At 41.6% G+C, this 14,734-nt stretch overlaps 1 protein-coding gene across 4 annotated transcripts in view; it reads left to right on the top strand.

Annotated features, from left to right (window-relative positions):
* ALG14 (ALG14 UDP-N-acetylglucosaminyltransferase subunit) overlaps positions 1-12,111 on the top strand; it is a 98,547-nt gene extending 86,436 nt beyond the window's left edge. For 3 of the 4 annotated variants that reach the window (NR_131032.2, NM_144988.4, NM_001305242.2), the window contains one exon: positions 3,210-12,111. Coding sequence is in view for 2 of the 4 variants with exons in the window: in NM_144988.4 (NP_659425.1) it covers positions 3,210-3,440 (231 nt within the window). In the remaining 2 variants the exon portion in view is untranslated. Of the gene's footprint in view, positions 1-2,882; positions 2,973-3,209 lie in introns of those variants that run through there. The other variant, XR_001737025.2, reaches the window with a different exon arrangement.

Genomic DNA, 14,734 nt, shown 5'->3' with positions numbered 1-14,734 from the left:
GGTGACAGAGCAAGACTGTGTCTCAAAAAAAGAAAAAAAGAAAAAAAAAGCTGTCAGTCAACCACATAAGTGTATGGTTAGAATTACAGATGGTCAAGTTTGGCAAAGGAAACATTTGAGTCAATATAGGGTAAGCAAAGACCCACTCCTTCTATACTCCCTTGCTTCTTCCTTTCTTTCTTCCTTTCAGCAAAATTTAGTGAATGGCTGCTTTGTTCTAGGTGCAGAGTATACACTGTTCTAGAAGCGGACTCTGCCCATAAGGAGCTTACAGAGTAGTGAGGAAGAGAGATGGCCCGGGTGGTGGTGTGAGACACATTCACTGATAATTTATATTTTGAGAAATGGAAGTATGAAGAGTATTTCTGTGTTTTTTAAAATTAAAAAGACAGTTCCAATCATTATATCATTTAACATCTTTACTTAGACTGTCTCAGTGAGTTCTGCTTTGTTCAATGCTTGGAATAAGTCTCTCTGGTATGCTTCTTTGAATAATGAAGACTCCATAATCCACTTTTATTTTTTTGCCTAGGCTGCTGCAAAAAGAGGTAAAACCTTTGTGTAATTAAAAGTAGCTTTCCTTAGATTAGGTTTCCTTTGAGATTAGTTTGCTTTTTTTTTTTCAGTCCTTGATTTATGGGTTTGTGGTTTTATTGTACCAGGGACTTTTGTAGTAAGGTGCTTCCAAATATACGGATGCAAGAGAGATAAACAAAATACCTTTAATTTACACTTTTATCTTAACAGTCTCTACTTCTGACCTGTGGCAGGTTGTTAATGCATCTCCCAGCAATGCCAGTCATTTCCCTTCCCATATACAGACATCTCTAGCTGTGTATACATAGTTTGTGTATAGAGAGTTGACTAGATGTTGAAATGAACACATGGATTTGTGCATTTTTTTAAAGAGGAACAAATGTGAAATTCTTTCTGTGACATTCAAGATCCAGCAATCCTTGCATTATTTTTTAGCTGTAGTTTTTATTTTGTTCTGTATTATTGAAACAAAGACTAAGAAAAGAACACAAATAATCCAAGGATTAGGGAGTGCATTAATAGAGTGGTTGTCAACTGGAGACATTTGGCAGTGATTGGAGTCATTCTTGGTTGTCTTGATTACTGGAATCTTGTGGGTAGAGGCCAGGGATGCTGCGAAGCACGCTAAGTAAGATGCACAAGACAGGCCCCCATAACTAAAATATCCAGTCCAAAATATTAGTAGTGCCTGGCAATAATTGGATTTTTGGAATTCTAAACATTGAAAAGATTCAGAGCAAGTTTGTAATTTAGGTTTAAGACAAAGAGGAAAATTGTAGAGTTATAGAACCCTGAAAGACATTTAGTCCAGCCTACCCATTTTCTAGTAAGGTAACTGCTAGAAATAAAAAAAAAGTGACCTGAAGCAACGTAACTCCTTCACCTCCTAAACATGTGATCAAGCAACTTGCCCAACTTCTGTGTGCCTGCCTTTTCTCCTCTGCAAAAAGGGATGATACAACTTGCTTGTGCTCACTTTGGCAGCACATATACTAAAATTGGAATGATACAGAGTTATTAAAAACAAAAAAAAGAAAAAAAAGAGAACTTGTCTCAAATTATGATTGCTGTGACGATTAATTAAAATGTAATACACGTAAAATGTTTAGTGCAGTACTTGGCCATAGTGCGTTGTGAATAAATAGCAGTGGTGAGGGCCGAGGTGGTGATTGTTCTTTATGCTGTTGCCCAGAATCACAGAGCTGGTTTGCAGTTTGTTTAACCTTGTTCCCCTGACTCTCAGTTCCATTTTCTATTACACTGCCTTGGGGGACTATGAAGAAGGGTTATAGGGGCAACTTAATGGAGATTAAAGACCAGTCTGGACAGCAGCTTAGTAGCTGGTAATTCAAGGGAAAGTCTGAAGACAAATTCTCCATAAAAGACAGAAAGGGGATTTGTAGATGGTAGGTAGAGAGCTTTGAGGAAGACATAAGGAAGATTGGTCTCATCTAAAACAGACTCTTTTCCCAAAGCTCTGTGAATGGTGTTTCAGGTGGTCACACCTCCTGGTGGAGCCTAGACCAGGTGACCTTTTTCAAACCCTACAGCCCTGACCATGTTCACATGGAGGCAAGATGGCTCTCTTTCTGTCGGGGAGAGTCCTTGAAATGCTGGGGTGGTATAAACAATATAGACAGTATATATGGGAACCTTTCCAACTCTAAGATTCTCTGGTGCTAAGTTTTGTGGACCTTAGGCTGGTAAGATCATGTGACATAGAGCATGCCCAATAGATATGTGTAGACAATCACAAACCTCTTGTTTTATGGTTTGTGGAATAAAGTGCTTTATTAGATTTTACTAATTCAGTCAACATGAGCATATAATTAAGATGTTGTGTAAAATGCTTTTTCCTCTGAAAACAGTAATATCTTACCAACAATTCTCTGAAACAGGTTTTCTCTTATTTTCTTCAATGGCTTATAAAAATTCAGCTGGGCTCGGTGGCTCATGCCTGTAATCCCAGCACTTTGGGAGGCTGAAGTGGGCAGATCATGAGGTCAGGAGATCGAGACCATCCTGGCTAACATGGTGAAACCCCATCTCTACTAAAAATACAAAAAAAAATTAGCCGGGTGTGGTGGCGGGCGCCTGTAGTCCCAGCTACTCAGGAGGCTGAGGCAGGAGAATCGCTTGAACCCGGGAGGCAGAGGTTGCAGTGAGCCGAGATCACGCCACTGCACTCCAGCCTGGACAACAGAGCGAGACTCCATCTCAAAAAAAAAAAAATCTTCATAGTCAATTAAAGATATTTTCTCCCAAATCAAGAATAAGTTGGTACATTAAAGAAAACAGTGAATCTCAGTTGATTTTGTTTTCTGTATTTTTATGTGACATTCAAGGTCCACAGAGCAGTCAGAGAAGAGCAACACATGCCTGTCCGATGAGTGCTGACTGAGCACCAGGAACTGTGCTAGAAGTTAGAAGTTAAGTGATTTGCCCTGAGTCACACAGTTGGTAAGCAAGAGAGCCAAGACAACACAGCTCTGCCTGGCTCCAAAGTGCATGGGCTTAAACATGCGCTGTTTGCTGCATCCTGGTTCTTGACAGAGAAGGACTTATTAGAATCATAAGCAGATCCCCTCTGAAATCAGGCTGTTCTTAATGCAAAATGCCTCCCTTAGATTATTATTCTGTATTTTCATTTGACCTTCAACTTTTTCTTTCAGGTGTTGTGTAACGGACCAGGAACATGTGTTCCTATCTGTGTATCTGCCCTTCTCCTTGGGATACTAGGAATAAAGAAAGTGATCATTGTCTACGTTGAAAGCATCTGCCGTGTAGAAACGTTATCCATGTCCGGAAAGATTCTGTTTCATCTCTCAGATTACTTCATTGTTCAGTGGCCGGCTCTGAAAGAAAAGTATCCCAAATCGGTGTACCTTGGGCGAATTGTTTGACAAATGGCAACTGACTTCTTTAGAATTTTGCAGTTAACAGTAGTATGTACTCAAATTGGGGGGAAAAAAACCCTACATGTTTCTTGTAAAGGCGTCTGACAGTCCTGAGAATTATTGATGGTAAGGAATAAAAAATGTACAGATGACTCAGTGAAGAAACTGAGGCTTCTCTTATGAAACAAACATTGATAAACGTAACTACTAAATGTTTATGCCTCTGTAAACCAAATTTCTTTTCTAGATAAAAATATGTATTACTACCTGCAAATTTTCTTCTGGCTGTTTTAGTAGTATTTTTTTTACAGAACTAAATATAGAGTTTGTATGATTAGTAATATTTCCTGTCCTACAGCTTTTTTTTTTTTTTTTTTTTTTTGTAAAGTATTCTGCATTGTAAAAGAAGAGAGAAAAAAAGTATTTCTGAGTTTTGGTTCAGATACAAAAGGCTTTATTTCCTGTATGGAAACAGTGATGTCCCCAGTGAATCCTTTCAGCATAAAGGAAGCAGTTATATTAAATTGGCTTCATGACAATTTGCACTCCACAAGCCTCCAGAACCTTGAGCATAAACCAGTATCATTTTTTGTACTTCAGTCTTGCTTTTTGAGTAGTTGGCCTTAATACAGAGTATCTTTTAAAATCTCTTGTTTAGGCCGGCATGACGGCTCACACCTGTAATCCCAGCACCTTGGGAGGCTAAGGCGGGTGGATCACTGGAGGTCAGGAGTTTGACACCAGCCTGACCAACATGGTGAAACCTTGTCTCTACTAAAAATACAAAAATTAGTCAGGCGTGGTGGCACATGCCTGTAATCCCAGCTACTCGGGAGGCTGAGGCAGGAGAATCGCTTGAACCCGGGAGGCAGAGGCTGCAGTGAGCCGAGATTGCACCATTGCACTCCATCCAGCCTGGGTGACAAGAGTGAAACTTCGTCTCAAAAAAAAAAAAAAAAAACAAAACTCAATGATGTAGGGACTGTTATTATTCCCATTTTACAGATGACTTGTCCAAGATCACATGAGTAGTAAGTAGCAAAGCCAGAATTCAAGTTCAGGTAAACCTGACTTCTTAGTGGGGCCAGTTTCACGGGTGTGTGGCCTGTGCAGTCACACAGAGTTCTGCACTGAAGAGGGCCTCCACTTGGTTTAATGTTCTGCTGTGACTCTCTTGAACTTCTGAATATTTTTTTAAACAATGAACTTATATTTTAGACCCTCTGAATTCTTTCGCTGGTCCTGCTTGAGACTGTGTTTCTAGTGGTGCCATGTCTACTGGAATAGAAGTACAATAGTTAGTGCAGTGCCTGGCCCAGGAGCTCCTCAAAAACAGGAATTCCATTTCCTTCCCTCTAACCTCTGCTTCTTTAACAAAGCAGCCAAAAAAAAAAAAAACAAAACAAAATAAAAAACAGAAAAGAGAAGATTCTCTCCTGTAGTATATATAGGTTTTTTCCTCTTAAATCTTTTGCTTTATAAGTATGATATAAATCTAATAAATAGTGATTAGTGAAGTGATTGAATTTTTGTGAAAAGAGACATGATTATCCACGATCATGTAAGATTAAAATCCTGAGGCTGATCCAGCCTTTTTTCTTTTTTTTTTTTTTAAAAAAAAAAAGCAAAAAAAACAAAAAAACTGTCTTCTCTGAATCATGTAACAGGCGCATCTGTCAGCCGGACATCTTCCTAGGTTTTTGGCTGGAGAAATGTGTAGCCGAAGGTGTCTCAGAATGGTGAGAACACTTTGCTGTCTGGATTTAGTGGGCCTGGGGCAGCCAAATGATAGTTCATTGTGCTTTGATTTTAATCCTCAAATCTCAGTCACTGGTTGCTTCCCTGGAGTATCAGAGCGTATTAGTATCATACAACCAGGGGCTGAGGTGAAATAAGCCTTGACTGTTCTAGAAAGAAAGTGATTTTTTCAGGGACAACAGCATCTGCATTTTATTGCTGTTTAAGGCTTTCTCTGCTCTGTACTTTGTTCCCTGAGTGGCACTAGGTAAATGAATGGTAAGGGAAAGTGAACTGCGTTTAGTGAATGCCTCTCTGTGCTGTGGGGCAGCTTCCCTGGGCCCCCACAGGTAATCCTGCTGCAGAGGCTTCTGTCAGGTCAGAGCTTAACAAAGATCAGACCAGAGAGAATTGTAGAAAAGATGCTATAATTTTTTCCAGAAACATATGTCCCAGATGTTTTGCAGAGCCTTAACTTAAGACAGTGGTTAGCCTGGAATGTCAGAGAAAGAATGTGTATGTGTTATATCACCAAAAGTTTAGAAATGTTATATCTTTCATAGGTTCAGGCTGCTGTGTACTCATTCAGAGCCAGGCTGAGACATGTGTTATTGCATCTTCCTGATCATTCAGATTACTCTGGTAAACAAGTGCATGCTCTGCTGTGTGTTACTGTTATGGCTAATTTGAGTCCTCAAGGTCCCATTAGCAGAGGGGGCTGGTGGCACAATTTCCCTGCTGTGCATTTCTGTGACATTCAGAAAGATAGTGCGCCAGTCCCAACTCAAACTGAAGAAGATGAGTAGCTAGCTTGTCCCTTCCAGTTTCTCTTAGAACACTCTGAATGCAACTTTTACTGTAGGAGACTGTTCATGAAAAAATTAATTGAATCAGTCTTCAAATGAGAGGCAGGGAAACCACACATCCTGCCCACACCTACTTCCCTGGAAGATTTCTATCTACAGTCCAGCTATCCTAAAAGGTCTCAGTAGCTTGCCAGGTCAGAATGTCTAACTGTTTCAAAAAGGATGCCCAAAAATCATGACAGGAAACTTTAGCCTGGAACGAAGAGTGCTATGAAACCGTGTCAACAAGAGGAGTGGTGACAATTGTGAGTTGAATAGCAAGATGTCCTTGCTAGGAAGGAGATGACCCAAGCTTCCCCTTATAAAAGCAACTTGGAACACATCATTCTACCTTTCAAAGATACATGGTAAGTTAAAATTGAGAAACGTACCCCTTTACTATACAGTTCCTTGGGTTGAATGAGTGCTTTTTTTTTTTTCTGAAAAGCCCCATCCCCCAAAAGGCATTTGATAGCAATGTATTAAGCACCTTTTACCAACAATAAGAACATCATTGTAAGTGTTAAAGAAAATTGTCCTTCTCCCTACAGGTCAGCGTTTGAGCCTCACGGGGTTTCTTCCCATGACTTCAGCCCTGGCGCACAATGAGCAGACACCCAAATCTTGTCCGCCTTCAACATTCTTTTGTTAGGGCCCATCCCTCTAGCACTCTAAAAACAAATCATCTACAACTGTGTTCCTGCTGCCCACTCATTTTAAACATGAATTTGACATAGCTCCTCCTTTTCGCACTGGAGTAGTTAACTAATGCTAGCCCACTAGCTTCTATCATGTCCCTCAAGCAACAAACTTTGGGATCATTTTTGCTTTTTCACTCTTTCTTTACCCAATTATAATTGGTTGCCTTTTTTGTTTCATTATCCCCAGAATTTTCTCGTCTTCCTCTTCTCTCCTTGAAATTACTTTTACTGTTCCTCTCCTTTGTCATCACCTATTGATTCTGCCTTTGACTTAGTTCATATCTACCCTTTCCTTTTCAGTCCCATAGTTACAACCTAAGCCAGCTCTTCAACAAAAATTTCTTGCTTGATGAGCAAGTTTTATTGAGGAACTGAGGAAACACCTGTGGAAGGAACAAATGAATGATTTTGTTAATTACTTATGTTTGTCTTCAGAGACTTCCCCTCATGCTAGTTCTGTATACTTGTTTCACTTTTTTCTTTCTTTTTTTTTTTTTTTTTTTTTTTTCGAGACAGTCTCGCTCCATCGCCCAGGCTGGAGTGCAGTGGTGCAATCTCACCTTACTGGCTCACTGTAACCTCTGCCTCCTGGCTTCAAGCGATTCTTGTGCCTCAGCCTCCCGAGTAGCTGGGATTACAGGCATGCACCACCACACCTGGCTAATTTTTGTATTTTTAGTAGAGACAGGGTTTTACCATGTTGGCCAGGCTGATCTTGAACTCCCAACCTCAGGTGATCCACCCATCTTGGCCTCCCAAAGTGCTGGAATTACAGGTGTAAGCCACACGTCCGGCCCTTGTTCCACTTTTTATAATATTTACACCACAGAGAGGTTAAGTAATTTATTAAAGATTATAGAACTAGAAAGTGACAAAGCTCAGATTTGAACCAAGGCATTCTAGCTCCAGCCAGGCTTACCTTAATAGCTACGTTAGGTGTTTTTTTTTTTTTTTAAAGAAAAAAGAAAAAATGTCCTCAAAAGGAAATAAATGGGGTAACAGGGTACTATGACGGAGTAGAAGGTAGTTGGTGTTCTAGATAGGGAAATCAGGAAAGGCCTTTCTAAGAAAGTGGTATTTTACCTGAGTTCCAAAGGATAATGCCTTAAATATTTGTCCTCCTTCTACTTCACTCCCAACTTAGATTTTGCCCCACCCACAAAGTCTTTGTCTTCATTTAGCTTGAGCAAATTCTCTAAATAACTCTGTGACATAGCCACCCATACCAAAGGTTAGTGCTGAGTTATATACCATCGAATTGCAGTCCTTGTTCTTAGAAACACCTGTGGAAGGAATAATGAATGCTATTGCTGATTATTTATGTTTGTCTTCAGGGACTGTACCTCATTCTAGTTTTGTATCCTTGTTCCACTTTTGATAGTATTTACACCACAGCTCTGTACAAAACATAGGCACTAATTAAATACATAAATTATTTGGCCAGGCATGGTGGCTCACGCCTGTAATCCCAGCACTTTGGGAGGCCAAGGTGGGTGTATCACAAGGTCAGGAGTTCAAGACCAGCCTGGCCAAGATGGTGAAACCCCATCTCTACTAAAAATACAAAAAATTTGCCGGCGTGGTGGCGGGCGCCTGTAATTCCAGCTACTTGGGAGGCTGAGGCAAATAATTGCTTGAACCAGGGAGGTGGAGGTTGCAGTGAACTGAGATGGCACCACTGCACTCCAGCCTGGGGGACAGAGCGAGACTCCACCTCAAAAAAAAAAAAAGAAAAAAATTATAGCTTCAGACTTGTCTAGGCTCACTTCAGTTATATTTTATCTAGACCAGTGCTTCACAAACGTTTTGATCTCAGGACCTCATTATACTAAAAAATTATTGAAAACTGGCTGGGCACAGTGTTTCACACTTGTAATCCCAGCACTTTGGGAGGCCGAGGTGGATGGATCACCTGAGCCCAGGAGTTTGAGATCAGCCTGGGCAACACAGTAAAACCCCATCTCTACAAAAAAAATACAAAAATTAGCCAGGCATGGTGATGCACACCTATAGTTCCAGCTACTTGGGAGGCTGAGGTGGTAGGATCACTTGAGCCTGGGAGGTGGAGGTTGCAGTGAGCCGAGATCATGGCACTGCACTCCAGCCTGGGTGACAGAGTGAGACCCTGCCTCAGAAAAAAAAAAAATATATCCCAATGAGCTTTTGTTTGTGTGAGCTATATTTGTCAATATTTACCATTGTAGAAACTAGACAAAAATTTTAAACGCAAGAATATAAAAGGACATATTCCACTGGCTGTCAGAACAATATCATCACACATCTTGTAGCATCTGGAAAACTATACCATCATAAGAATGACAAGGAAAAGGCAAATAACATCTTAATATTACTATGAAAATAGTTTTGACCTCATAAACCCCTAAAAACGTCTTGAAGACTCCCCAGGACCTTGGACCACATTTTAAGAACTGCTGCTTTACATAATGTCACATCAGCGAATTCATCTCTTCTTTTTTTAAAATAAGAGGCAGGGTTTCACTATGTTGTCCAGACTGGTCTCAAACTCCTGGTCTCAAGGAATCCTCCTATCTTGGCCTTCCAAAGTGCTGGAATCACAGGCATGCGGCACTGCGCCCGGCCTATCTCCTCTTTAGTCAGTCAGTGATCTGTGTATTAGTTTTATCGCTGTGTAAAAAATTGCCACACATATATTGGCTTAAAACAATACATTATCTCTGTAGGTTAGAAATCCAGGCAAAGAAGGTTTTCTGCTCAAGATCTCAAAAGGCTGAAATCAAGATGATGGCCAAGGCTGAGTTCTGATCTGCAACTCTGAATCCTTTTCAGATACCTTCAGATGGTTGTTGGCAGAATTCAGTTCCTTGCAGTTGTAGGATTTGTGGTGGCCTGCTTCCTATCTTTTAAGGACTCACATGACTGAGTCAGTGTAATCTCCCTTTTGATTAATTCAAGGTCAACTGATTAGGATCATAATTACGTCCCTTTTGCCATGTTAATGTAACATAATCAGAGGAATGACATGTCATGATATTCACAGATCCCACCCATACTAACGGATAGTAGATTATCCAGGGCATGTAAATCAGGGGGTGGAATATTAGGGGACATCTTTTTTTTTTTTCTTTAAGACGGAGTCTCACTCTGTCACCCAGGCTGGAGTGCTGTGGTGCAATCTCAACTCACTGCAACCTCTACCTCCCTGGTTCAAGCGATTCTCGTGCCTCAGCCGCCTGACTAGCTGGGATTTCAGGAGTGCACCACCAGCCCGGCTAACTTTTGTATTTTTAGCAGAGATGGGGTTTCACCATGTTGGCCGGGCTGGTCTCGAACTCCTGGGCTCAAGTGATCCGCCCACCTCGGCTTCCCAAAGTGCTGGAATTACAGGCGTCAGCCACCATGCCCGTTCTGGGGGCCATCTGAGACTTCTGCCAACCACAATCAGCTAGATGTTTTTTGTTTTGTTTTGAAAAAATAATAATAATAACCTTTCACTTGGGCCACCAAACTCCTACCTTAGTATCCAAGTTCTCTAATTTTTTTTTAATATGGGAAATCCACATCTCCCAAACTCTATCCCTTTTCTGGCAAGTTACTTGACCTTTCTGTAAAATAAGCATAATGTACCTGCGTTAGAGTTGTAGGGAGCACTAAACATTCAGATGATGTATGTACAGTGTTTAGCACAGAGCCTGCTAAATAGTAAGCCCTCAAGCCCTCAGTCACATTTGTCTCCATCAGTGGTAGCTCCCCTGGTGTGTTAAGGAGGCTCTTCTTTCTTTTTTTTTTTTTTTTTTTTTTTTGAGACAGAGTCTCGCTCTGTTGCCCAGGCTGAAGTGCAGTGGCGCGATCTCGGCTCACTGCAAGCTCCGCCTCCTGGGTTCACGCCATTGTCCTGCCTCAGCCTCCCGAGTAGCTGGGATTACAGGCGCCTGTCACCACGCCCGGCTAATTTTTTTTTTGTTTGTTTTTTTTGTATTTTTAGTAGAGACAGGGTTTCACTGTGTTAGCCAGGATGGTCTCCATCTCCTCACCTCGTGATCTGCCCGCCTCGGCCTCCCAAAGTGCTGGGATTACAGGCGTGAGCCACTGCGCCCGGCCAGGAGGCTCTTTTTAAACTAAGGGCAGCAACCCCCTAGGGTGGCTATAGTCCAAGAAAACCCAGAAAATACATGCTGCCAAGGATTTGGAGAAATTGGAGCCCTCCTACATTGCTGGTAGGAATGTAGAATGGTGCAGCAGCTGTGGAAAACAGTTCAGCAGTTTCACAAAAATCAAACATAGGGTTATCATATGACCCAGAAATTCTACCCATAGGTGTATACCCTGGAGAATTAAAAACATGTATTTACACAAAAACTTATATGTTCGCAGCAGCGTTATTCATAATAACCCGAAAGTAGAAACAACCCAAATGCTCTACTAATGAACAGATAAACAAAATGTGGTATATCCATATAGTGGAATATTACTCGATCACACAAAGGAATGAAGTACTAATACATGCTACAGTGTGGATGAACCTTGTAAACAGTAGGCTAAGTTACAGAAGCCAGCCACAAAAGACAACAAATGCATGATTCTATTCATATGAAATGTCCAGAGTAGGCAAGTCCATAGACAGAAAGTAGCTTAGTGGTTTCCAGGGGCAGTGAGAAGGGGAAATGGAGGGCAACTCCTAATGGGTATGAGGCTTCTTTTGGAGGTGATGAAAATGTTCTGGAATTCGACAGTGGTGATGGTTGTACATCTCTGTGAATATACTAAAAGCCACTGAATTGTATACTGGGTGAATTTTATGGTATCTGTAGACATTCCAATTGACAGTCACATCTTAGTATAGACTTTGAGTCATCTCACTGGAGGCACTAGACATGCAAGAGGAGAAGTCTCCAGATTATTCCAGCCCTGCCATTTGAGTCACTCCAGGCTTTCTGGTCTTCCCAGCTGAGGCTCAGACACCTTGGAAGAGAGAAAAGCTCTCCCTTCTGTGCCCTGTGATTTGCTGATCCACAGAGTTCATAGGCATGATTAAATGGTAGTAGTTTTCCACCACGAAGTTTTGGAATAATTTGTCACAAAGCAATAGGTAATTAGAAAAATAACCTTTCAGAAGGAGACAGTTTCTCCAAAGCTTGGGTACTTTCGCTTAATATTAAAAGAGGAAGAAATTTTTTGCCTGCCAGGCAAAAGGCAGAAGATGTATTTCTACACCATGGATAGGAAAATGATTTTTTTTCCTCCTTTCTCCTTGGCCTGCATGCAGCAGTGAAAAAGAAACCAATGGATTCTTTTAAATCTTTAACCATATGCAGATGAATAAGCACATGGTTGGACTTGATTCCTAATCTCTTTTCCTTTCCTGTATAACTGAGATTTTTTTCCACTCTAATAAACTTGAGCATTTAAACAGAAGTCATGTGTTACATATATGACGATTAGCAGCAAGAATGTAGAAAAGGAGATAGTGGCTGAGCATGAAGCTTTAATTAATACCCAAGCCATTCAACTGAAAATGAGAACAATGTTTCTGGCAAGGAGATGTAAAAAAAAAAATTCTGTCCAATTTGAAATCATTTTTTTCCTCTCTCAATCTTTTTAGGATAATGATTTAAAATTCAATGACTGTAAAGAGAACTTTTTTTTTTTTTTTTTTTGAGATGGAGTCTTGCTCTGTCACCCAGGCCGGAGTGCAGTGGCACGATCTCAGCTCACTGCAACCTCTTCCTCCTCCTGGGTTCAAGTGAATCTCCTGCCTCAGCCTCCTGAGTAGCTGGGATTACAGGTACCCGCCACTGCGCCCGGCTAATTTTTGTATTTTTAGTAGAGACGGGATTTCACCATCTTGGCCACGCTGGTCTCGAACTCCTGACTTCATGATCCACCCACCTCGGCCTCCCAAAGTGCTGGGATGACAGGCGTGAGCCACCGCACCCAGCCCAAGAGAACTTTTTTAAGTTTTCAGTTGAGCTCCAGTGACTGAAGTGCAGTAATCTTTGTATGACATCAAGAAGGCCCACCATCCCCATGTCTGGGTCCCCACTGGACTGCCAACCCCCAGAACGTACACACTCAGAGTAGGAAGGGAATACAGCCCAAGGAAAGCCAAGCAGCCGCAGGAGGAATGGACTCTGGGGACAGTCTCTTCCCGCCTCTCAGAAAAAGGGAAAAGAAGTTTCATTCTTCAAAGAAAAGGGAGAAAAACAAGACTTTTATGGAAATACCATATACAGAGTTGGCAGAAATTCAGCAAGGAATAAAAAGTATCCAAAATGTTCCCTTATTCAGTTCCAGTCTGGCAGACAAATTAAAAGAGGTTCAATTTTCAAACCGATTTGCCCTGAATTATCTGGACCTAAAACCATGCAAGGCATCTAAAAAGACTCGTGGTTTGGTCCATTGACAGCCCAGTTGAACAAGCGGAGTCTAAAGCAGCCAGATGGAAAAAGCTTAAAATGTTTTCATCAAAATCTTATAAAAAACAAAGTATTTGTGGATGAAATGATAAGAGGCCTGAGATTTGATTGAAAATCCATTGCCAGAGTGGGGCAGGAAGGAGAGTTTATAGATAAAACAGGATTAGCCATGCGTGTGGAAGCTAACTGGGCAGTGGGTACATGGAGATTCACAAATAAGCCCATTATATTCCCTCTATTTCATATACGTTTCAGCATTTCCATAATTAAAAGCTCTAGAAATATATATCATGTAAGAAATTTTCAGATGCTAAAAAGCCAAAGAATGTATTGATTATAGATAAATGAAACAAACTAGGTTTTTAAATGAGAACAAGAAAGGACACTTAAAAATTACTTTTATTTCATGCTTAACTCATGAAAAAAAAAAAAGTGGGCCGGGCACGGTGGCTCATGCCTGTAATCCCAGCACTTTGGGAGGCCGAGGTGGGTGGATCACGAGGTCAAGAGATCAAGACCATCCTGGCCAACAAGGTGAAACCCCGTCTCTACTAAAAATACAAAAATTAGATGGGTGTGGTGGCACGCGCCTGTAGTCTGAGCTACTCGGGAGGCTGAGACAGGAGAATCGCTTGAACCTGGGAGGCAGAGGTTGAAGTGAGCCGAGATTGTGCCACTGCACTCCAGACTGGCGACAGAGTATCAAATATTTTGAGACTCCATCTCAAACAAAAGAAGAGAAAAGGATCAGTCTGCAAATCTGAACCTGAAGAGGTTTCTCTGACTTGAAATAGTCTATGTTGGGCCTTTCAATACACTGTTATCGAGTTTGAAATGTCACCATAATCTTTATCCACCTAAGGACTGTGCTCCTCATTGTTTGGTAAATATTTGAGGTGTTCCAACATCAATTTGACAAGACCTTTACAGGAGACTTAAGGGCACTGACTCCTATTGAAGGATCCCTTTCTCCAAGGGCACACTCCCCGCTCGATGTCAGAAGTGCTGTGTGTGCACTGACTCATTTAATTCTCAGACCCAAGCAACTGAGGCCCACACTTTAAAGACACATATTTGCCACTTTCCTCCCTATGGGGTTGGAAGGGCCACACTTTTCTAGACCAAACTCTGGCTGCCCAGGCCCCAAAATTCCCTGCCTCAGTGGCCCGAGCCTGCTTCTAGGATTTGCCTGGGCCCCTTGCCCCATGGAATGCAAGTGAACTGTGCCCCTGGGCTGAGAGATGGCATGGGTGGTTTTCAGTGGGGAATGGTGTGGCAGGAGTTAGGACCTGCAAGCTGAGGTGTGGAGGGCAGGATGGAGCCAGATGGAAAGAGAAGGGAGGGGGGCTGTGGCAGAGGTTTTTGTGTACACTCTTGCCAGGGGTCCTGGAAATGTTAGGGGTGGACCTAATGAGTTAAGTATTATCATTACCACCTTTTCTGGAGAAAATAAAACTGAGAAAGCTTGAGTATCTGCTTAGGGTTGCACAGCTGGCTAGTGGCAGAGCCAGGGCTTAGCCTGTCATTCTTGTGATTCCATGACTCTTCCCTTTCATGCTCCACACAACAAAATCCACAGAATCTGCAGGTACCCGTGTCTCTCATGAGACACAGAGACAGTC

This window comes from Homo sapiens, chromosome 1 (genome assembly GCF_000001405.40).
Source record: "Homo sapiens chromosome 1, GRCh38.p14 Primary Assembly".
Lineage (NCBI taxonomy): Eukaryota > Metazoa > Chordata > Mammalia > Primates > Hominidae > Homo > Homo sapiens.
Note: the sequence above shows the minus strand (reverse complement) of the source record. Positions and strands in the feature narration are given on the sequence as shown.